Raw genomic sequence first — 25,228 nt, 5'->3', positions numbered from 1 at the left:
GCCTCTAACAACCAGCTCTCCAGGGAACTAACAGAGCGAGTACCCACTCACACCCCACTTCCTCCAGAGAGGGCATTCATCTATTCATGAAAGATCCATCCCATGACCCAAGTTCTCAAGTTCTTAAATCACTCCCTTTAGACCCTACCTCTCAATACTGCCGCACTGGGGATTAAATTTCAACAGGGGATTTGGTGGGAACAAATATCCAAATGATAGCACAAAGTGTATTAGCAGGGTTTACTTATGTAGATATAAATTGTGTACATTTTGCTTAATGGCCCAAAGAAACAGCTTATCAATAATCTAACCAATGAATATCTTTGAGTCAATTGCTTTCTCTAATTTCTGTCCATGCAATAGCTAAGAATTTGATTGTGTGCTGTCAAAATTCTACCACTGAGGTTAGCGGAAAACAGGCTTCATATTTCTTTGCAAATAATCAAATTTCCTTTAAATAGACCTATCTAAAATCAGTTGATAATTTAACTTGAATTCCCAAGCCACTCAGGAAAATAATCCAATATTCACCTCCCACATCAACCCAAAGTCTGTTACTTTTCTGTCTTCTTATTTGACTCAAATACCTTTCCACTTGCTGGTTTACTCAAAAGATCTGTTTCATCTCCATGTTTTAGAGCCTGAGGATTTCATTTTTAGTTATCTATTCAAAACATTTTCTTCACTGTAAAATGATTGACAACTAGTAGTTTTTGTTACAATGGTAATTCTACTTTCCCAATCCATCACAATTGTCTTGGTTTTTATAGAAATATGACAGGTTGTCTTGAAATTCTGAAGGTCTCAAAATTATGCGAGAGTGAAAAATGTCCCTGAAAAAGTAAGCAACTTTTTAGATTGAAATAATCACATGAAGAAAAGAAACAAGACACAATTTGATATTTCAGTTTATTTTCCAAGTTTACAGTATAAAAAATGTGATGTGTAAAACATTTTACAGTTAATTGGGATGAGGGGGGGATTATACTGGAGGACCCAAAAAGGAACAAAATAACTTGGGTGACAGGTACACTATTCCATCAGAGACACTAACTCTGTTACTGACATCACAATGAGAAGAAGTTTCATAGCATAAACCTTATGAATGTAAGTAAATGGACCTGTACAGATGGTTGCTGGTAGTGTCATTCATTCATTTACATGCTTGCAAATGTGTCAAAAGAGCCCACTACCCAGTTTATGCAGGAACTCACTCAGGCCTTGTCATACACATATGGTGACCATGAGCAGAGGCTGGTTGGCAAAACTGCCCCTCCTGGTTACAATGTACAGTATTAACTAATCAGAAAGAACAAAAAAGGTCCCTGACCACATTTTTACACAAACCGTTATGACTCTGTCAGGTAAAGACAGGTGGTTTCATCTCTGAACTTTCTAAATTGGTGCTGGACTTGAAATCAGGAAATGTAAAGTCCTTCTAACCAAAGCAATTATCAAATAATCTCCTCTCAAATAAGACCTGCCTGGCCCAGGCCTCTCTGGTTCTCTCAGTAGCATTTCTGTTGAGGAAGGGGTCATCTATAATGTGAGTTAAATCACTGAGCCAGTATCTGCCCCCACCCTCATCTTTGCTGGCATCCTGCACTCTATGCAATAGTTATGGCCATAAATGACTGTTGGAAATCAAATTTGGCTAATCACGCCATAACTTAGGGGTCCCAGAGGAGTTTGCCATTTAATTAAAGCCTACCGTAAACTATTATAAAAATAAATTATTGCCATAGTTTAGATTTTTGTATGTTCCCTTTTTAAAGAATGATGATGAAAAGTAAGCGAATGTTCCATTACCTCTATAACTGAGAGGTGCTGGTAAATGAAAAACAACTGTTTCATCTTTCTACAAGGCCCCTAGAACGGCAATGATGTGCAACTGTCTAAATTCCCTACAACTTCAGTTGAACTAAACTTGTCACCTGCAGATCAGATGCCCAAGTCCCATCACTAACTCCCTGAGCAACAAGTCTCTGGTCCCCACAGATGAAGCTTTCTTAGGCTGAAGGCTTTTTAGAATTAAACACTCCTAAATGATGAGCAACTTCACAACAAAAGGCCATGTCTACAAGTGAAAGCTCAGATAAAGATAAGCACATACAAAACCAAACAACTGTACATTCAAATAATGCTTCCCAAATACCATTTCAGTGCCAAAAGAAGTGCCAAAGACACTTTTAAGATAAAAGCCTGGGGTTTGTCACCTTTGTCCCCAAAGCTTAAAGTAAGTGTCTTTCTTCCACTATGACAAGGACAAAACGCTGATGTTTGTAAGCTGAGAGAGACATAAATGGTAGAGTCTTGGTGCCATATTGAAAGAAACTTTTCACAGTGCTGCACCTGGCTTTAGGAATCTGCTCTTTTGTTGGAGAGACTAAAACAACCCACTAAAGAGGCTTATTTCATAGACAAAACAAATTGGGTTATCTACGTAGAAACGGAACAGGACCTGGGAAAACGGGACTTATAGAGCCCTGAAATTTAATTTTATTCTGAAGTTTTACATTTCTAATCCATCGCATCTTAATTCCTAATGAGATGTCACATGGAGAGATGTGAGCACCATCTTCCCTTTACTGTCTTCCATTGAAAGCAAACAGCAGGGCAGAAAACTATGGTTTATGCACAACTGAATCAAAACTTACTACATATGGGAACAGAGAAAAATGGTTTTCTGAGTCCTGTTTTACGTCTGCTCTGTCAAAAGTCTTGGGGGCAAGTGTGAGAAAGACGGTGGGATGCAAACTGCTTGCTGAGAACACCTACGTCAAGGAGGCCAGGCCAGGGACTCCGGCTTGAGATCCCCACAGGATGGGGCTGTGGACAGCCCCTCTCACTCCAACCAGGGAAGAAGTTTGGGGCATAATGTTGCCATGGCACCAGAGAGAGGCCAGGTCAAGCCCCTGCCTGCCTCCCTGCACCCAAGGCCCAAGGCACGCATCTTGCCCAAGCCAGCAGAGTGGGAGCAGAAGGTGGGGCCAGGCAAAAGCAAAGGGGGGCTGCCAGAACAACAGCATCCCTGTCTTGCAGCAGGTGTTAACACTGAAAGGCTGGGTTTTCCAGAAGGGATTCTCAAGTTCTTTCCATCAAATATCCTAAGATATTTGCTAGCATAGTGGAGAAGCTTTCCAAGGGACAAGGTGTAAATCCAAAGTGAAAGAAGAGATCCTGCCTCCCAATGAACTCTCACCCCAGGTTCTAGTTCAAGGATGTGTCTCTAGGTCCTTCCTCAACATCCAGAAGTGCCGAATCATTTAGACCATACTTCAAGGTACAGTGGACTGAGGGGTTAGAATCAAACATCTAGTTTGAAATTCTGTTAACCAGACATGAGACCTTGGACAAGCCCCTTCCTCTCTGACCTTCCGTTTTTCACCCGAAAAACCAAGATGACTCCTATCTTGAAAGAATGTGGGGATAACAAGGCTGGGTGGAACACGGACTGTGACATACATTACCTGATAAATGTGTTAGTAGCCTTTCCTTTCTTTGACCAAAACATGTTTTGTCAAAATGTGATCCAAAACTGAATTTTCTGAGCATACACTTGGTTAAAGCTCAATGCAGTTATTTCAACAGTGTCTAAACTATCTCATTTCGCTACTGCACTGAATACCAATCAAGAACGGTGGGCAGAAGAGCAATTCTTATTTTATTTATAATGAAATACGACCACAAGGTTACATAGTAGTAAATTCACAGTAGTGATTTTTTTGTTTTTCAGTAACAAATCCGTAAATCACAAACACTACCCAGAAATACTTAAATCACTTTACAATCGCAGGGTCTCTGCTGCAGGACTATTTAAATAAATATGCTAACATTTCTGTGCTACTGTAAGTAACCTATCACTTTTTAAAAATAAAGCCCAATTTTTAAGTTACCTTAAGAAATATCTAGTAAGGCTTCCAGGGTAGTGAAGTTTGAGCAGTAATTTTCTTAGAGCTTGACCTTTGTTTGTTTGTTTCTTGCTGTTTTCAGAGTCCTAAAGCAAGAAAGAGTTTAATGGACTTGCCTGCAGGACAGCAGGCTCCCCAGAAGACAGTGCTGTGCTAAAGCCATTTACTCTAGCGGGAGAAGCCAGTGTCAGTGAGGGAAAGGAATAAAGCAGGGGAGGGAAAAGTCACTGGTTTAGAGCGACCTCTCAAAACACAGGGTTATTAAGTCATCTCTCAAACACAGGGGACTGCAGAAACACAGACACCCTCACACACTCAGCTATATACACAATGACACGTATCTGCTGAGCTACACACCTGCTACAGATAACACAGATGTTAAGATGTCTGACATATAAATGTGCTATCCGTCTGGTAATACACTCAGAGAAATGCTCACATATATGGAAATAAAAACGCACAAACAAATATGCATCCCCACTTAGGGATACTTACACAGCAGGACCCAGATTGGAAGGTAAACCAAGGACTCACTTTTGTTGGTTTCACTGAGTGGCTGGAGCACTCACTCAGTACGTAGGTTGGAGTGGCAAGGTAATCAATTTCTGTCAGTCCAATATGCTGGTAGCATCCCACAGAGCTACAGCCCTTAGGTAAATACATGCACTCGAAAGTGATTATGAGGCAAAATGAGAGAGAAATCTACCACCAACTACTGTAGAGAGGGCAGGGGTGAGCACTTTATCCCTATCCAACACACACCTGCACAGCTAGTCTCTCCATTAAAAAAGGAGTCCCAAGCCCCAGGCAATGAACTACAACACAGCAAACACACCAGGTCACCTGCCTCTTACCATTTGCTGTAAAGAACTTGTCTTCCATGTAGATGTCAAAAGGCAAGAACAGAGGCGGGGGAAGGGAGGTGATGATAGTTGGGCAAAAATTTGGTGGTCAAGTATTTTCTCTAGGGCTTACTTTATGAATTTTAGCCAAAGTATTACAGATTTGACTTAACATTTTGATAATGCAAAGGATGGATGAACTATATAGCTTTAAAATCCTCTCTGAGAATGCATACAGAACTTTTTAACATTCAGTTCATGGACTATAAAAACTGTCCTATCTTCAAAAGTACATATTTAAGAACAAATTATCTACCAGTTAAAACATCACCAGGGAAGAGAGCAATCTCAGATATAGACTCCTCATTAAGTTCTTTAACACTCAATGCTCTAATTTTAATAACGTAGGATGAAAATTATAAAAAATCTATAAACATATAAGGCAAATGAAATCCTGTCTACTATAATGTGAACATACATTCTACCAGCCTTAGGGCGAAGTTTACCCCCTTTTAAAAAGAATAGCCTACCAGTTCCAAGAATTGAAATAAAAATGCATTGTGTTCAATTGTGGGATGCAGCTTTCTGAAACCTTAAATCTTTTAAATGTCATTTACATTGTTCCCACTGCAAAAGTAACTCAAGCTATAAAGAGGTTGAAAGTGCAAAGGCTTTACAAAGATCCTGCATTTTATTTTGTTATTCTTTCAAAAAGAACTCAATACAAAGTCAATATAAAAAAATCAATACTCAATTTAAAACAGAAACAGTAATTTCTGAATGTCTAACATTCTCCTATGCAAAGACTGGGAGAAAGAGGAAGGGGGAGAGAGAAAATAAATTCTTTAATTTAAACCTTTCTTCACCCTGCTGGGAATGCACATGCCAGAGCAAATGAATCCAGCTTAACCCCTTCTGGACTGGTCATTGAAGATAGGGTTGGAAGAACAGTATTTTAGAATGGTGATGAACAGTGTCATTATTAACTATATGTACATACACTTATGGCACTTGGAACTGCACTGTATCCATGACGTAGCAACCTCTGACACAGCCCGTCTCACACTTGCCATCTCTTACCCCATTTCCCAAAATATTTCCTGAGAAAGATATTGTAAGGAACTTCCAGTTTGAAGGGATCTAACGGCAAAAACTAAGAACAAAAGCACCATGGTTCCATGGTATGTGTTTTTTATAAACAGAAACACATAGTTGAATAGTACATCTTGGCTCCACGCCACACCTATGGGTTCCCCCTTCCTTCTTCTCCAGCATGTCTTTTCAAGCTGAAGGCTAGTAATTGAAGAATGTTGTTTACTTTTTCAGGTACAGGTGTATTACAAAGATCCAAAGCCAATTTTGATTTTTACAATGACACAAAATACTGTACCACTTGTGGAGTGTATGAAGCAGTAAGGGAGTAAGGGGGTGTGCACACATACAAAGAGCATTCGACAATGTCATCCTGTACTACAGCAAGATGGCTGATTACCGAAATACTGGAAAAAGCAAGAGTGAACACTTTTAAAAGGTTTGTTGCAGATACAGGAAGGCAAATGGAGGCAAAGGCAGCCCAGTGCAAGAGGTCCGGATGGGGCTCCTGAAGGAGCTCCCCTGCAGCAGGGCTCCGCCAGGATGGCTCCTCTGCCCACAACCCAGTCAGTGTCTGCTCCCCCAGGGCCAGGGGAAAGCCCACTGAAATCAGCTGTGTTTAACAGACAGACCACAGATGAATCTTTCTGGACAAGATGGGCTCCCTACTCTCCCTTCCCCAAACTCTGTAGAGTGTCCATTTTCCTTCTCCCCACTTTATCAGCAACTAAGAGTGGGAGCAAAACCAGCCTCTTTCCTGGTCCTAAGTGGCAGAGGCGATGAGTTGCACAGTGACGGTGGTCAGAAAACACAGGGACTGGACAGCAGCAGTTGCCAGCGTGGTTGGCATGGTTTGGTCTCCTTTGGCAGGGCAGCTTGCTCTAAGCTTGGGAAGAACTTACGTCCCCAGGAAATTAAGTGGCTCCAAGTTGCACCTGCCAATCCCAGAGTCACAGTGTTAGTCTCCCCTGGTTGGTGTAGAACAGTGGGGAGGAAAACTGGGCAGTGTGGGGCTCCTGCTGCAGCCTAAAGGTGGCATTCCCACTGCCCTCTCTCCCTGTGCTTTACCTGCTGGGCACCCCACACTTCCCTATGGAAACAATGCTGGGACTGACTTGAGGCTTCACACAGAGCCGGAGGGCACACATGGAGAGCCAGGGCTGCCAGCCAGGTGGGGGCAGGATGGCATGGAGGCCAGGTGGGCAGCTGCAGGGCTGGGAAAGGGTTACCTGCTTCAAGCCAGCAGAGGGGTGGGATCAGAAACAGGGCAGGTAGGTTTTCTCTTTGGGAAAAAAACAAAATCAAATCACTTAATAGCTGTAAACGACAGTGTACATTTTTTGTTGTGATCTTTCTCTGAAGAACCTAAGGCAACAAAGAACAAAGATGAAGGCAGGTATCTCCTGAACTGCCCACGACTTTCATGGGTGATGTGATACTGGACATTAACATACACAAATACATATGTGGACGTGTCGTGACTGGTTTCCTGAAACAGAATAAAGATGTGTCCCCTGGAAGTCTACAAGTGGGCTGACCAGAAGCAACGGGGGACTTGGTACTGGACGAAAGGCAGGAATTAGTTGTAAGGCGAGGCTCCCAAGAAGCACCAGCTCCACTTTGGTTTACAGCTGTAACAGAAGCTCCAAGGAATGGCTTCTTGAGAAGTCCCATCGACAAAAGTCAGATGTCATCAGTCACTCTTTTTCAGGGTGGACAGCCCCTGCTTCCTTCCAAATAAAGTGCAGATGGTCAAAGGATACTGGTCAATCATCTGCCAGTTTCAGTCAGCAATGAAGAAGAATTTTTAAAAAAGACACCCCTCTGGCATAGATATATATCTCTCTATATATTTTTCTTTTTTTTTTAATAAAGCCACAAATATAGAACTTTTAAACGGATGTCTCAGACTGTAAGCGAAGGACAAATTTGTGAGATTTGGGGTCTATGAACTCTTCAGAGAGTATGATGAATGGAATTTTCTTCACATTGACTACGAGGCTGAAGTCCAAGCACTTAAGGACGAACACAATTCCATCCCGTAATCCATTAGTCACAGCCTCATCACTGACAAGCCTCCACTGTGTAGAGAGCCAGCGGTCCTTGTCATATTGCAGGGTGGGGCCCGCACTGAGGTACCGTTCTAGGAAGGCCTGGAAGCAGAGGAGAAAGGCCATTAGGGAAGAAACAGCCTGTTTTAAGGGCAGTACTGCCAGGCGGCTATCCACTCTCACATCTATAAAGAACTTTTTCCAAATAAACCAGCTTAGACCAGAGCCCAGCTCATCACACTCAATTCCCATCAGACCCTCACAACTGAGTCATTACTGGGGAGGGAAGACTTCTTGGACTTCCTCACTCCCCTTTACCTACTATCCACCAAGCGCAAGAATAGTGGTACCCACAGAGGGGAGGGAAAATGGGGTGGCTGGTGTCAGTGTCTGGCTGGAAGCCGTCATGGCTGCATCACTCCATTCTTAGGGTATGGTCCTACTTGATGTGTTTCTCCATGTCTTCCTCCTCCTGAACCAAAAGTTTCTCAGGGCCAGGGCTGTGTCGGGCCCAAAGGAGCAGTCAGGAAATACAAGCTGCATATACTTGCATGAATAAGAACGCATGCGCTACCATTTACTGGCAGTGATTCTGCACAAGTCATTTACACTCTCTATTAGTGGACGCAATGACACTACCTAAGTCACAGGGCTGCCGTAAGGATGAAAGTGTTAGCTCTCAAAAAGCACTCACAGCAATGCCCGACATGGTAAGCAAGCAATGGTTATTCCATGTTGGGCTAAGTGTGCACATGGCCAGTCCAGGGGATGCCCAGGCCTGATGCCCCCTTCCCTCTCCTGAGTTCTCTGCTCCAGTGGCACCTGGCTCGATGGAGTTCTGATACATGTGCTGTTCCTCCAGCTAAACACTGTCATTCAGCTCATTCTTCCCTGCCCTTCAAATCTTCTTAAGGCTCTTCTCTTGAACCTCTCAGGCAGATTAACATGTCCTCCTTCAGGCTCCTGTAATCACTGACTCTCGTGTGACCCTTTACTTTCAAAGTGATTGCTGACTTGCATGTCTGCTCCCCACACTACACTTCACTCTCTTGAAGGGCAGGAAGTATGTTTTGTTTCTTTAATTTGAATTTCCAACGTGCCTAGCACATACTAGGAGTTTGACAGCATGCGAATTAAATCAAATAAATACACTGATTTAGCCATGAGGGGAAGGAAGAATGAAATGAGCCAGTAATACAGATAGAAACATACTGGGATATATCAATCAGGTCCCAGACAGAGTCAAGAACAGATTTTGTTTTGTTGAGATAGAGTCTCACTCTGTTGCCCAGGCTGGAGTGCCGTGGCAGAATCTCGGCTCACTGCAAGCTCCGCCTCCCGGGTTCAAGTGATTCTCTTGCCTCAGCCTCCTAAGTAGCTGGGATTAGAGGCATGTGTCACCACACCTGGCTAATTTTTGTGTTTTTAGTAGAGATGGGGTTTCACCATGTTGGCCAGGCTGGTCTTGAACTCCTGGCCATTAGTGATCTGCCTGCCTGGCCTCCCAAAGTGTTGAGATTACAGGCGTGAGCCACTGCACCTGGCGAAGAACAGTTTTTAACTAGTATCCTCTTTTTTTTTTTTGAGGCAGAGTTTCACTCTTGTTACCCAGGCTGGAGTGCAATGGCACGATCTCAGCTCACTGCAACCTCCGCCTCCCGTTTCAAGCAATTCTCCTGCCTCAGTCTCCTGAGTAGCTGGGATTACAGGCATGCGCCACCACGCCTGGCTAATTTTTTTTTTGTATTTTTAGTAGAGACGGAGTTTCACCATGTGGGCCAAGCTGGTCTCGAACTCCTGACCTCAGGTGATTGACCTGCCTCAGCCTCTCAAAGTGCTGGGATTACAGGTGTGAGCCACCGCGCCCGGCCCGGTATCCTCTTTTATTCACACCCTGCTGCTACTGCCAGGTATATATTTTTTTCATCTGTGGAGCATCTATTGTAAGGCAGAAAAGTAAGGCCTTGCATACTCCCACACTTCTAATATAAATACAGCTCCTATGAATCATAAGAAAAAGAAAATAACAATTAGAGAAATGAAACTAAAACAATAATTTTATAGAATAAACATTATTGGAAAATTAACATATAAAAATTTTTCTATCACATTATTAACTAAAGAAATATAGGCTGGGCGCAGTGGCTCATGCCTGTAATCCCAGAACTTTGGGAGGTTGAAGCAGGCAGATCACGAGGTCAGGAGATTGAGACCATCCTGGCTAACACGGTGAAACCCCGTCTCTACTAAAAATACAAAAAAAATTAGCTGGGCGTGGTGGTGGGCGCCTGTAGTCCCAGTTACTCGGGAGGCTGAGGCAGGAGAATGGTGTGAACCCGGGAGGTGGAGTTTGCAGTGAGCCGAGATCGTGCCACTGCACTCCATCCTGGGTGACAGAGTGAGACTCCGTCTCAAAGAAAAAAAAAAAAAAGAAGAAATATAAATTAGAAGAATTAAAAACTAACTTCCTCCTATTAGATAGGCAATGATTTTAAAAAATAACATCCAATGCTCCCGAGTATGTGGGAAATAAAAAATCTCAGATGTTAGAGGCAAAGCATGCAAAAGTACACCCCCTAGGAGGGCAATTTGGTAGGATCTACAACTCTGACCTGGCTTTTCCTCTACTTGAAACTTAGGCTTCAGAAATACTTGTACAAATACATATGTAAAAAAGTATTCACCACAATGCTGTTTAAACCAGGGGTTGGCAAACTTTTCCATAGATGTAAATATTTTCAGCGTTTCAAGCCATATTCTGTCACAACTACTCAGCTCTGTTGGTGCAAAGTGAAAGCAGCCATAGGTGATACATAAATAACAGGGCATGGCTCTGTGCCAATAAAATCTGATTAACAAATACAACAAGCCCCTGGCTTTCACTAATGAAAACTCTTAATCCAAATGTGCATCAACAGACAATCAGTTGAATAAATCATGGTATTTGGTAGAATAAGACGTAGCTATTACCAGAAATGAGTTATATCTGTAGTTATATCTGTATGAGTAAGATCTGTATGTATTGACTTGGAAAGACAGCCAACGGATGACTTTAAGAAAAAAAAGCAAAGTTTTATATATCTATATCTCTCTACATATATATAGAGAAAGATAATATACATTGTATAGAGAGATGTAGTATGTAAATCTCTATCTATGAATGATAATATATAGGCTATCTATCTATCTATGTATATATCTATGTATCTATCTATGTATCTATCTATGTGTCTATCTATCTATCTATCTATCTATCTATCTATCTATCTATCTATCTATCTACCTAATGAATGATATATATAGGCCGGGGTGGTGGCCTGTAATACTAGCACTTTGCAAGGCTGAGGCAGGTAGATTACTTGAGCTGAGGAGTTCTAGACCAGCCTGGCCAACATGGCGAAACCCTGTCTCTACCAAAAAAATACAAAAATACAAAAATTGCCAGGCATGGTGGCGTGTGCCTGTGGTTTACACACACACACACACACACACACACACACACACACACACACACAGAGAAAGAGAGAGCAATGACCCAATTTCTGTTTTGTTTTCCCATTTCAGCTTAAAAAACATCTACATATATTTGAAAGAATATATACCAACTCCTTATCGGTAAAAACTGTTTTGGGGCAGGGGCTGAAAACTTCATTTTCCGCATGATACTTTTCTTTAATGTTTGGATTTCTATACCAAAAACAGCTATTATTTTTAATTCAGAAAAGTATAAAATTTTTAAATGAAACAAAAAGCAACCAGGAAACTTTCTAAAATCTTGTAAAAAGAAAAACAACTGTTTTGGTTCTACATGGTACAAGCCATCATTTTATACCTGCAGACATATTTTCCTCATTTGCAACCACAGTATTCACATGTTTCTGCATTCTATTTCTTGTAACTTACTATTCTAACAGATTCTTTCATGATTCAACAGGTGATACACCATAATTTATAAGCCACTGTTATGTTTTAAATTATTTCCATTGTGGAGGATTACAGATTGTTTTGCAAAACACCACCTTTGTGTATATTCATGTGTATATATGATTGTAGGAAATAGTTTTCCTAGGAGAGAGATTAGTGAATCAATACAGAAAACTTTTTGGTTTCTTACTATTTCTACATTGCTTTCCTAAGGGTAGTTATTGGTTGACAATGTAACCAGCAGGATACACATATAGTGCAACATATAAACAGAAGTCCTTATAAAAAAACAGCTACCAAATGTTACACATGTACCACATGCCAAGCTCATCTACTCTCTACCATGCGATTTACATGCCTTGTTGCCATATTCAATGTAATTCTTACACAACAACCCTGTCAGAGAGATATTATTATTATCCTCATTGATACAACAGTAAACAAGTGTAGAGGAACTGAAAGAGTTAATTCACGTGATGTGCTTAAAACAGTACCTGTCATATGAAGAGGCCAGACTAAATTGCTATTATTATTATTGGTAAAAATAATGCTATGGCTTTGTCAGGCATTTTGGGTGTTACAGAGTCAGTTTTACCAAACGGTCTTTTAGATTACAGTATTTAGCACACTTTTAGGGATATTACAAGAAACAGCCATATATCTAATAGAGGGTAGAGTAATTTGTGCACAGTCACAAAACAATTAAGTGGTGGAGCCAGGATTTGAACCCACTTCTCTGTAGAGAAGTCATTTGCTGTATCTTTACTCTAGTTTGCCTCCTTGGCCACAACTCTCTATTAGATACATGGCTGTTTCTTGTAACACTTCTTAAAGTGTCCTAAATATCATAATCTAAAAGACCACTCAGTAAAACTAATTCTGTAACACCCAAAATGCCTGATGGCATTTTTTTTTTTTTTTTTTTTGGACGGAGTCTCGCTCTGTCGCCCAGGCTGGAGTGCAGTGGTGCGATCTTGGCTCACTGCAAGCTCTGCCTCCTGGGTTCACGCCATTCTATTTTTTACCAATAAATAGAGCTATTTAGTCCATCCTCATCATATGACAGGTACTGTTTCAAGCACTTCACATGAATTAACTGTTTCAGTTCCTCTACACTTGTTTGCTGTTGTATCAATGAGGATAATAATAATATCTCTCTGACAGGGTTGTTGTGTAAGAATTACATTGAATATGGCAACAAGGCATGTAAATCGCATGGTAGAGAGTAGATGAGCTTGGCATGTGGTACACGTGTAACATTTGGTAGCTGTTTTTTATAAGGACCTCTGTTTATATGTTGCACTATATGTGTATCCTGCTCTTTCAGTTCCCAAAACATACAAATGAGATAGTTATTAGTATTATCCTAACCAATTAACAGGTTAGGAAACTGAGGCACAGAGCTATTGCCATCTGCCCAAGGTTATGCATCTAGTTGGTGGAGGAGCCAGGTTAGAATGAATCAGTTCAGCTCCAGAGTCCACAATGCACCCCTAATCACTATTCCATACTGTCTCCAATCACTATTCCATACTGTCCTCCAAGCGAAATTCTCTCCTCTGTTAGAATCCAGAGGCCTTCGAAAGGCACATTTAAAAAAACAATTGTACTAACATAACATAAAATAAGTGAGAATCACTAATTCTTATTACTTGAGTTTTAGAGATGCCTTTCGATTTTATCACTTCTAGTAACACGCTATAATTCAACTGGCCAAGCTCAGTGACAAGCCAGGATGACGGTGGCAGAGCCCGCCCGGAGCAGCGCACCTTGGGGGTCATGCCGTTGGTGATGCAGAAGGCCAGGTGCTGCAGGATGCTCTCCATGCTGTGGTAGTTCTGCTGCCGGGTGATGCGCAGGTACTTCTGGAGAGCCCTGGCCATGGAGGGGAAAATGGCCTGGGCGGCCTCCCTAGGGTCCATCACCTCCCCTGGGGCTTTCTGCTGCTCCTCAGCCTGGAGACGCTGAATGTGGATGAAGGCCTCTTCCACTGCAACCACCAGCCTAGAAGGTGATGCAACACTAAGTAATCAGGATGGTGCCTGCCACAGGGTGTGAGAACAGAATGACGCTTGTCTACCCTGCTGCGGCCCAACCTGCCAACATACCCAAGGCCCAATCACGCTGCTTGCATCCTTAGCTGTCCCTCAGAGAGTGGAGAGGGAGGAAGGGAGAAAGAAAGGCAACAGCAAAAATAACATGTGGAACAGGGGCCCCAGGGGTTGGGGGAAAGGAGCCCCAGGACTGGGAGATGAACTCTGTTCTGAATTCTGCCACCAATGAGCTTGGGAAATGCACTAGTCCTTTTTTCATCTCTGCAATGGTTAGATGAAAAGAGTTCTGAGGCCCCTCCGACTGGCTATAAAAGGCTCTGTACAGAGAGAGGTGGCTGGTGGTGCAGAAGCAGCCCTACAAAGAAGCAGAGCTGCGTGCTCCCTGGTCCAGCCACCCACACCAGCAGCCCCTGGGAAACAGGAAGAGGCACAGCACACATGATGGAATGCACCTCTGTCCCCTTCAGTGAATATGACCTGACGGTGAACACCAGCAAGGGTCCAGGGGTGCAGAACAGACCCACTCAAGTATGGGCTGGGGGCCAGGAGCATCAGCATCACGCAGGAATCTGTTAGAAATGCCATTTCTTGGGCCCAACTCCACACCTATTGGGTAGGGTCTCTGCAAGCAGGGCCCAGAACCTGCTGCCTGTATTTGAACAGCCCTCCCAGTGATATTCATACAGGCTTCAGTTTGAGAAACACTGGAGCAAGGTGCACTCCAAAGGTGTCCCAGCAGGTCATGTTTTTAAACAGAAACCTCATTCTAGTGGTAAGAAAGGAAAGATTGAAAGTCTACAAGAGGCCGGGCATGGTGGCTCATGCCTGTAATCACAGTACTTTGGGAGGCTGAGACAGGCACATCACTCGAGGTCAGGAGTTTGAGACCAGTCTGGCCAACATAGCGAAACCCCATCTCTACTAAAAATACCAAATATTAGCCGGGCGTGGTGGTGGGCGCCTGTGATCGCAGCTATTTGGGAGGCTGAGGCATGAGAATCACTGGAACCTGGGAGGCAGAGGTGACAGTGAGCCAAGATCTTGCCACTGCACTCCAGCCTGGGCAACAGAGTGAGATTCTGTCTCTAAATAAATAAATAAATAAATAAATAAAATAAAAATTTAAAAGTCTGTAAGAGGGTACTGGCATCAGGAGGGCAGTATACCTTGCTTTCCGCTTCTTTACTCGCCGTTCATGTTCGGCCTCTTCATAATACAACTCGTTGTGGCTTGAGTCCCTGCGCCGAGCAGCTGCAGCAATCATGGCCCGGGACTGGCCAGTGGCATTGTTACTGGGGCCTTTGGGGAAAGGACAGTGAAAGAATAGTGTTAATACCACGAGGGTGGGAAACAGAGCAGAAAACTAGTACCCAATCTGTCAGTGTTGTCTACCCACCCCCTATGGAACACACACACACAAATCCTAAAGGTCACTTCCCAGGAGGGTGAACTGTGCCCCGGCTCCACATTCACTATGTCCAAAGCAAGGGAGCAGAGGAATCTCCCTAAACCCCAATCTGGTCAGTGGAAATGGAAAAAGAACTCAGAAGGGCATGAAGAACGGTGGCAATTAAAATGTTGGCCAAAAACAACACATAGAGTGTGCTGAAGATGTTACCATCTGTTACATAAAGTTTCAGTTTGGCCATAAGGGCGGCTGGGACATCAAATTTCAGCAAGACAATGAGACAGAATGAGAGGGATGGGGAGACCAAGGACAGACAGACAGACAGACAAAAAAGAAAGTCAAAGGACATGAGACACTGAGTCTACAATGGAAAGCAAGCTATGCTAGAATGTCATGGCAGCCACAACTTTTCTAGGAAATACCAATGCTTGAGGGTGTGCAACGTGACCCGTTAATGAATACAGACTCAGAAGTCCTGTCCTGTCCCCTGACCACTGACCACCTTAACTTTTCAGAAACATAGGCAGATTTCAGGCTTTCTTACGGATGATCTACTTGGCTGGTGACTTGGTTTCACTAGTGGGAATCTTTCCTAAGTTTTTAGATCACAGGTGAAATTTATCAATCCTTCAGGCTTCGTGAGGGAGCTCACACCTCATATAGCCAAAAAAAAATGAACAAACAAATAACTGAAAGGATATTGCCAACAAAAACTGACACTGTATATAAATCACTTGACTTGTTGAAAATATAATCCTCTCCTAGGGTTTGCAAAGTTCTTGCCCTCACCCAACATACCCAGGAAGAAATGACACCGCATCCTGTTTCTTGCACTTAACCATGTGATACCCTGAAACATAGCTTGGACTTACCCAGCCTGGCCTCCAGCCTCCTGCCACCCACTCAACTCCGGCTCCTAGCCACGAGTAAGAAGTGCCCGCAGGTATCTCACCAGATGCCTGGACTACTGAGATTTCTAGTCTTAATGATTTAGGTAGCTTTCTGAGTTTGTGGGTAATGTGCACCAATTTTGAAAAGCAACCCTTTCCTAACAGCTTCCAATATAAGATGATCCTGGCAGAAGGCAGGAAACACACACCGCTGCTGTTTTCAATCATAAAATCCCAAAATGAACAGGCTTCCAACACAGGTAGATGGTAAATCAACATTCCTCTAAACATGTGTCTGCCTACATAAAAAAGAGAAATTGTTCTGAAACAAGAATGTACCATAAAGGTAGGCCCAGAGAAGAAGTCGAACCAAACGTACCATGAATCTTAAATAGTCACCCAACTGTGCCCCTGTGAGCACCACGGACACCCTTTCAAGGCACATACCATCTACATTGTAGACTTTCAGCCCGGCCATATGCTTGGCTGCTCGGAATTTGGAGGCTGTTAGGAGGTTTGGGTTATAGATGGTGAAATCTTTGTAGTAATTTTCTAGGACCACCAATGCTGCTCGCTGGATACTGAGAAAAAAAGAACAAAATTAATGCAAAGCTTTTTCACTGAAGAAGCAGGTCCTAAACGAAAAATCCTCTTTTGGAGTCAGGTAAAGGAACACAACATCAAAGATAATCTCATACAGAAGTCCACTGGGTTCCACCACACTTCTGGTCTCCAGGATGAGAACTTAAAGCTGAAACTAAGCCCCATGGCCAGGTGACTTCTGTGCCCTCTCCTGGACCTGTGATTAGCCACATCCCATCTAGCCCTTTGTTGAAAGAGGAAGAAGTTGTAACTCATAACTTACATTTAGCTTTAGGCACACAAGAACTTTTTCTATTTTTCCTCGGTTTACAAAAGAAGAAACTGAGGATGCCCCCAAAAGGGCAAGAGACTTACTAATGGTTGCAGAGCTAATGAGTGAAAGAACAAAGTATAGATTCAGGTTTCTCAGGTCCTCATTCAGGGTTTTGTCCCCTAGGCCTTGGTATCCCTGGGTATAAGGAATCCTGGAACTTAGGTTTTATACAGACCAGAACAACTGCAGCCATCCAGGGCAGAGCGTACTTAAGAGGGCCTTGGCCACGCGCGGTGGCTCACGCCTGTAATCCCAGCACTTTGGGAGGCTGAGGTGGGCAGATCACCTGAGGTCAGGAGTTTGAGACCAGCCTAACCAATATGATGAAACCCCGTCTCTACTAAAAATACAAAAATTACCGGGGTGTAGTGGCATGCACCTGTAATCCCAGCTACTCGGGAGGCTGAAACGGGAGAATCACTTGAACCCAGGAGGCGGAGGTTGCAGTGAGCCGAGACTGCACCACTGCACTCCAGCCTGGGCAACAAGAGTGAAATTCAGTCTCAAAAAAAAAAACAAAAAAAACAACAAAAAAAAGAGAGCCTCCGCTGAGACCACTTGATCTTTCTGGGTCCCCCTGCCCCTTGGAGTGCTATCTCTGGCCTTTGGCAGAGGGGTATGAAGGTGACTATCTATGTTCCGATATTCTAGGTCTCCAACTATCCCCTGCTTGGTCCTCAGAGAGCAGCAGGGGAACAAAGAACAGGTACCATCAACAAGTGGGAGAGAGGATGTGGGAGGGTACTTATAATTGGAAATGAGTATAGACAGCAAAAGAATATGCCCTTGGTCTATGGTGCAGAACACTTGCCACTTTGAAGAACACCTTGCAATGATACAGCAAGGGTTTGCACATACCTGATTCTCATTTAACCCTCACAATCATTCGAGGTAAGAAAACTGAGGCTCAAAAATCTATGACCTGCACAACAGTATGCATTTAATAAACAGGAGAGCTGGAACTCTGATATGATTTACAAACCTCCAAGTTGGGCTTCCCGGTAACATGCGGACTCTGTGTAACAGCGTACGTGCTGACATCTCCAACCACCACCATGTTAAATACCACAGATATATTTTTATCTTGCCCTTTGGATTTTCCTTTCTAGTACTCTGCTAAGCAGATCGGCTTACAAGGATTATTTGCAGTAGCCAGAGCACCAGGATGGGGCTCCCTTTGATTCCTGGATGACCACACTGTGTTCCAACACTCTCCAGGTGGCTCAGGGATCCTCACTTCACACCAAGACAAGGGAGCTCCTAAACTATCCACTGGAAATTCTGTCTACCCACCCATTTGGCTCCCCTTGGAGCTCTGCTTCAAGACTTGAACAGAATTGAATATGGAAGTCAGTCAGCTAACCTGCTTAAGAGCAGAATCATGGTAAAACTTTCTGAGTTATATCCCCAACAGTGCCCGCATTCAGTTGGTACTTAATATCGTCCTAGATAATGTACAGTCATGTGAGGCTGGGGAACACTATCAGGGGAAATCCGGTGAGACCAACTTTGCATAATGGAAGTAAACCTAAGACTCCTAACAGCAAATCTGCATTTTGAAAATTCTGACCATTCAGTTACTCAGTTGTTCACTCGTCATTCCATATTTGAGTGCCTGTGTCTGCTAAGCCCTGGGAATATGAAGATAGACCTTAGCTGGTACCTGGAGCATGAACCCCATGACAGTGAGTATGTTCTCATGCTGGAACACGTGGGGCTGAGTAACCACGGAGAAGAGCTTCTGGCTGCCTGGGACAGGGTGCAGCCTTCCTGAGGAGGCGGACTTCCGTGGAGGTTTGTGTGTCACGAGAGCTCTTCCTGCAGAAGTCTAGTCTGCTTGCCCTGAAGGTCTCACCTGGCAATCTCCAAGTCAATGTGGCTCCAACTCCGTCCTTGCCCCCTGTCCATGGCATTCTCCAGAGAGGGGCAAGTGTTTCTTTATTCCTACCCCATCCAGAGATTCATTGCAACCCTCTCCCTGATCTCTCTCTCTCTCTCTCTCACATACACACACACACACACACACACACACACACACACACACTCCCTGGTGTGTGCCTAGCTCAGCTCCCACCCCTGTGCATGCCTTTTCTGGAGTGCCTGGGCTTTCTGAGGCTCCCTCCACATGGCTGTAAGACTCAGTTTATACACACAGACCCACTGGGGTTCAAACTCACTTCATCCCCCCTCCTCCACTGATAAAGAAACATCTCTAGGCCCCTGGATTCCAACAGAAAAGCATTACCCTGATCTAAATTTAAAAATTAAAAAGCAATCATCAGAAGTTCTCAGAACCATTTTCAACTCAAAACTATCTTGTGGTTGCTGGGTTTTGCTTTTCTGTTCAGCGAGGCTGCAAGGAGGGGTCAAGGGAATCCCATTAATTCAGCTGGGGCCTGTGAGGGGATGGGTGGGTCGGAGCCTCCTGGCTGTGTCTCTCACCCTCCACCCTGTGAGTGTGATGCACTGCCCAGAGCAGTGGCTTCTGTCTCCAGCAGGGCTCCCGGCCCACCGCCTTCCAGCACGGGGCCTCAGCAGATGCTCTCCAAATGGGCCAGCTCTCCAAATAAGCCAAGTCCACAGCCCACCTGACAGCCCCTCAGAGCAAAGTCCTGGCGTCCCAGGAAGTGCCCAGGGTGGGGGCGGGTACTGTGGGATGCCAGCCCTGGGTGTCACAGGCATGGCTCTCACAGTCCTCCCAAAGAGTGAGAGTCTTTGCTCAAAAATACCAAACAAGGGGAAAGTGCAGGCGTCCTGCACTCCCTCTGGCTCTGCCCTCTCAGAGAAGCAACAGGATGACTCAGAGCCTGCCGTGGGCTTGGCCAGCCCCACAGGCTGAGAAGCCAATGCTGGAGCTGAAGAGATCTCAGGGTGAAGTTGATAAACGCCTCCAAGAGTGTGCATGCTCTCACCTACAGAGGATGGTCTGTTTGATGCCCAGCATACCTGGCAGTATTAGGGAATGAGAATTTCCAAGTAACTAAATAAACACAAAACTCAAGTGCACAACTTAAATAAAATGGTTGTGACATTTTGGGATAAAATCCAATATGCCTTTCTTCTTTTTTTTTTTTTTTGAGACAGTCTCCCGCTGTCACCCAGGCTGGAGTGCAGTGGCGCAATCTCGGCTCACTGCAACCTCCACCTCCAGGTTCAAGGGATTCTCCTGCCTCAGGCTCCCAAATAGCTGGGACTACAGCACGTGCCACCACGCCCAGCTAAATTTTGTATTTTTAGTAAGGACGGGGTCTCACCATGTTGCCCAGGCTGGTCTTGAACTCCTGAGCTCAAGTGATCCGCCTACCTTGGCCTCCCAAAGTTCTGGAACTACAGGTGTGAGCCACTGTGCCTGGCCTTTCTTCATCGTTTTGAAGAGAGTAAGCTATGTGATATATGATTTAAGTCTTCTTGATTACTCCAGATGATGATTACGCATCTTAACAGTGAGCTGTGCCACGTACATAAGGCAGTGAAGACACTGGGTTCCATCAGGAGGTGGAGGCCATCTATCCCCACTCTGTCCCAAGCTGCAGCAAGTGTGAATAGGTGAGGCTGTTTTGTTTACATTTTTTCCACATTCTCCCTCACTACTGCTATCAGTCATTCCTAATTACTATGCCATGGCCTCAGTCATAGCCCCGGGAGGCCAGGATGCAGGGAGCAGCCATTCCCTCCGCCACTGTCCGTGCCCAGCATTCCTCTTGCCTTGATTCCTCTCCACCCTCCAAATATGGAAGGAACCACAAAGCCAACACAGGACTGGCTTCTTTCAGGAAGGCTTTTCGAATCCTCCAGTCCCCACTGATCTGTCCCTAAACTTGCAGCATCAACAGTGATGACACATGACTTGTGATATCTTCGAGGGAGTCAAGGAAGCTGGTCTTGCCCCTTCAACAAGCTTGCCCATGCAAATCCCTGACACACAGGGGACACGTCCTTTGGTTCCTCCATGGGTATATAATACTTGCAGGCTTAACTTCTCTGTTCATGCAATCTTAGAATTCCCACAGGCCTAAGATCAGTCTTGAATATGTATTTCATAAAATCATGGAATTTCAGAGGCAAAAAGGGCCCCAGAGATGAACAAAAGCAAATCCTTCTACAAACCCCAATCTCTAGACCAGACAATCTTGGGGAAATGTGGGAGGCAAGAAAAATCAAGTTGGTTAGAAACTTGCCCCCTCTGTTATCACCATTAAATTCAGAGAGAAAAGGCAGTAGCCTGACTGAACAGGACCCCTGTATTACCATCAGGGGGAGCCTGAAGTATAGACTGTGGACTCAGCCCCCTCAGAAACCTATGACAAGGAGCATTTTCCCAAGATAGAGGACTCTGTGCTCAACTGGTGCCACATGCCAACATACCTGCCTAGTCACAACCCAGGGAAAGAAATACTCTCTCCCAGACCACATAGATTTGTGGAAAACAGCACATGAAGGTACGCCTAGTTGTGACAGAAATTCGCTTGAGACCTATGCATAAAAACCTCCTCAATAGGCTTCAGTCTAGGCTGGTCCAAACTTGAACTCCTGGGAAGGACGGGCCAGCAATGGGTCTACACAAAGGTCTAAGGGAATCTGATGGCTACATTTTAATTTAAAACCCACTGCTGACCACATTGCCTACTGGCCTATTTTCTTTGCAGGACAAAGAGGGTGGAATGAGAAATGCTGTGGTCTTTTGTGTCTAATCAACCACGAAAGCACTTCCAGTGTTGTTGACAACTGTTACATGACTGCCATGGCAACAGAGAAGAGGGGCTTGCCCTTGGGCTACATTTCTTAAACAGACCTGGAAAGAAGCACCTCAAAACGTAGTTCAAATGTTAATGCACAAAAATCTGAAAGACATATTTTTTAAAGATAAATTCTGAAGAAAAAAATACAAACCAAATTAATGCCCTGCATATCTAGACCATCCACTGCCTCCCCATGCTCTGTGCATGTCTGAGTCTGCACAGAGGCTGTGGGAGGAGGCACGCACAGTGCAACTGGTGCAGACTCTGGCCCCAGACAACATGACTCCAGGCTCTCTCACTCATTCATTCACCTTGAACAAATTAGTCACTTCTCCAAACCTCATACTCTTCATCTGCAGGATGGGAAGAGCAGCACAGAAAACCCTGATTACCATGATAAGTGGGCTCCAAAATACTCAGTGGCATAAAACGTCTTACTGAAAGGCTAATGAATTGACTGGGGCAGGCCTGGTACAGGCAGCTACTCGGAACCTCCAGCAGCAGCCTGCGAGATCCAAGTATACCAGGTGCTGGCTGAGGTCGGCATCGCCCTAAGGCAGGTTAAGTCTCATGAGCTTAAATATCCATTGGGATGATTCCAAGTTCTATGACATTATGAGACTTCAAAGCTAGTTGGCATTTATACCAGGAAAAATACTGGAGACTTGGGAGTTCACCCACCACTTTCCTGCTTCCTAAAGAGGAGTAGCCTGCCTGGTTTAGGTCTGTGCTGAAGATGAAATAACACATTTTAAAGTGGTTATTCAAAGTAAATAATTCATAAACGATAGCCACCACGAGCTTATATGGCCATATATGTTGAAGCGGCCAACTTGATCCCAGGTGCGCCTGTACCAACCTCCTCCAGAGGCCCACCATGAGGGTACTGCCATGGGAAATGAGCCAAGATGGGTCCACTCTGCACAGTTTTCCTTAGGGACTGGGGCCACAAAGTTATGCTACTCTTTGTTTTTATGCAGTACTTCCTGCCAACTCTCAGCCTCCTGAAAATCAAACCTACCTATAGGGAGGCATCCATTGTAGGAGTACTAGATTCCAGAAGGTCTAGATTCCTGCTACCTACCCTGTAATCCTGTATAAGTCATTTCCCCCTTCTTGGCCTTTTTCTTGGCTTTTGATAAAGAGATAACACCAACCACTGCATGTGGTTGTTGAGAAGAGCAAATGAAATAATGACAGTGAAGGCATTTATAAACTATAATGCATTGTACAAACACAAAAAATTATCGCATTACTAATAATAAGCATGAACATTTTGCAGCGGTGATGGGGTTGGTTGGTGGCTAGAATATACACACAGCTCCTAGCCACAAAAGCATGACCCCATTTCTATTTATACTGAACCTCAAAATTTTAGAAATGGAAGGAATCTTAGTGTTCACCCAAGCAGAGATTCAAGAATCAGAGAAATCAAGAGTCCATCAGTCCAATCTCCCAATCCATATACCAATTGTTTTTTTTAATTATTTTATTTATTTAGGGATGGAGTCTCGCTCTGTCGCCCAAGCTGGAGTGCAGTGGCGTATCTCAGCTCACTGCAACCTCTGTCTCCCAGGTCCGAGCAATTCTCCTGCCTCAAATCCCAAGTAGCTGGGATTACAGGCGCACGCCACCATGCCTGGCTGATTTTTAGTGGAGATGGGGTTTCGCCATGTTGGCCAGGCTGGTCTTGCACTCCTGACCTCAGATGATCCACCTGCCTTGGCCTCCCAAAGTGCTGGGATTACAGGTGTGAGTCACCAAACCTGGCCAATTTTTATTTTTATTTTTGAGACAGTCTCCTTTGTCGTCCAGGATGGAGTGCAGCGGTGCAATCTCAGCTAACTGCAACCTCTGCTTCCCAGGTTCAAGCAATTCTCGTGCCTCGGCCTACCGGAGTAGCTGGGACTACAGGCACATGCCACCACGCCTGGCTCATTTTTTGTATTTTAGTAGAGACGGGGTTTCACCATGTTGCTCAGGCTGGCTCAAACTTCTGGCCTTAAGGGATCCATCCATTTCAGCCTACCAAAGTGCTAGGATTACAGGTGTGAGCCATTGCGCCTGGCAGCCATATAACAATTCTTTTTACAAGCTCCCAAATGACATCCAGCCTTTGCTTGAAAAGAAAGTTCACTTTCACACTGAAACGACCTTTCAGTTCTACCACTGGTTCACCCAATGCCTTGTTCTGAACCCAAGTCCCCCTTGCTGGTGAAAGCCTTTTAGATACTTGAAGGAAACAATCGTGACCATAAACCACCCCCATTTTAACTCCCTTATTTTATAGCTAAAGGAACCAAAGCCTAAAAAAATGTGTGCATACATGCACACACACACACAGACGTACACATGGTCCCTTCTACTTCCCATTCATTCACCCTCCCTTGAACTTGATTGTGGCTTCTGCAATCAAACTTGTATTCTTACATGTTATTAAAATCCGAAATTAACATTGAGCTTTAGAGCTCATCCAGGCTGATGCCCTCACACTTTATGGCCTGCAACTTCTCCCTGAGCAGGGAGAAGGGATGAAGACATCCCCCATGGACAAGTCCTTTTCAAGTTTTAGCCACATCTTTTCAAATATGAATTTGATCCCTTCAGCTAGGTCAATAAAAACAGCTTTCTTCACACGTGGAAAATGTCAAAGTACTTCTTGTATGCTAATTCCCCAAATACATGTCACGTCATTCTTCTTATTACCTAGGTACATGCTGACAGAAAAAGTACTAAAAAGTTTTCTCATCATAGAGTAAAATCTGCAAAGATCTCCTTTTAGAGCATGCAGTCACTATCCTGAAAGCCAGCTAAGGATGCTACATTCAGAAAAATCTTAATAACTAGCCTCTCCAACTCCATCAAAAGCAGTTACGAATTATGAGCACCTGCTAAGTCCCTAGTACTGAGACCCGGATGTAAATGAAACCTTCAAGGGGCTTATGCTCCAATTAGTGGTGAGTACCACTCAAACAATAAGTACAGTCAAGTGATCCAGAGACCGTGACAGAACATGTACACCAGGAGAAGAGGGACGGTGTTTCCGCCAGGAATCCACAGTGGGGGCAAAGCTGGGCTGTTAAGTCTTACAAGATGAATGATGGTCACACCAGGGACAACAGGCTGTAAAGCAAATTCCAGGCAGAGAAAGCAGTGTGAGCAGAAACAGGCTGGTGTTAATCCTCCCAAACATCCACAATAGAGCAACAGGGTCAGTGTTCAGTCACAGGACAGCACAACTTGGAGAAACCCGTAGTGGCAAATAGTGTCTCCCAAAATTTGCATCTACCCAGAACTTCAGAATGTGACCTTATTTGGACACAGGGTCTTTGCAGATGTTATGTTTAGTTAAGGTAGAGTCATTCTGGTATCCGTATAAGAAAAGAGGTGGCCAGGCCTCT

At 44.2% G+C, this 25,228-nt stretch overlaps 1 protein-coding gene across 3 annotated transcripts in view, besides 1 other annotated feature; it reads right to left on the bottom strand.

Annotated features, from left to right (window-relative positions):
• The window catches only part of VANGL1 (VANGL planar cell polarity protein 1), a 56,252-nt gene continuing 31,919 nt past the window's right edge, over positions 896-25,228 (bottom strand). For all 3 annotated transcript variants that reach the window (NM_138959.3, NM_001172411.2, NM_001172412.2), the window contains exons 5-8: positions 16,620-16,753; positions 15,041-15,173; positions 13,590-13,824; positions 896-7,998 (exon numbers count right to left, since the gene is read on the bottom strand). In NM_138959.3, coding sequence (NP_620409.1) covers positions 7,738-7,998; positions 13,590-13,824; positions 15,041-15,173; positions 16,620-16,753 — 763 coding nt within the window. In that variant the 3' untranslated portion in view covers positions 896-7,737. The remainder of the gene's footprint in view (positions 7,999-13,589; positions 13,825-15,040; positions 15,174-16,619; positions 16,754-25,228) is intronic.
• Positions 2,406-2,905: an enhancer, noted in NCBI's record as "H3K4me1 hESC enhancer chr1:116238833-116239332 (GRCh37/hg19 assembly coordinates)". NCBI's record gives its function as "activates a minimal SCP1, AML or CMV promoter by ChIP-STARR-seq in naive H9 embryonic stem cells {active_cell/tissue: H9 hESC(naive)}" and the evidence as "EXISTENCE:reporter gene assay evidence [ECO:0000049][PMID:30033119]".

This window comes from Homo sapiens, chromosome 1 (assembly GCF_000001405.40).
Source record: "Homo sapiens chromosome 1, GRCh38.p14 Primary Assembly".
NCBI classification, from domain to species: Eukaryota; Metazoa; Chordata; class Mammalia; order Primates; family Hominidae; genus Homo; species Homo sapiens.
This window is presented reverse-complemented; position numbering and strand designations above follow the sequence as displayed.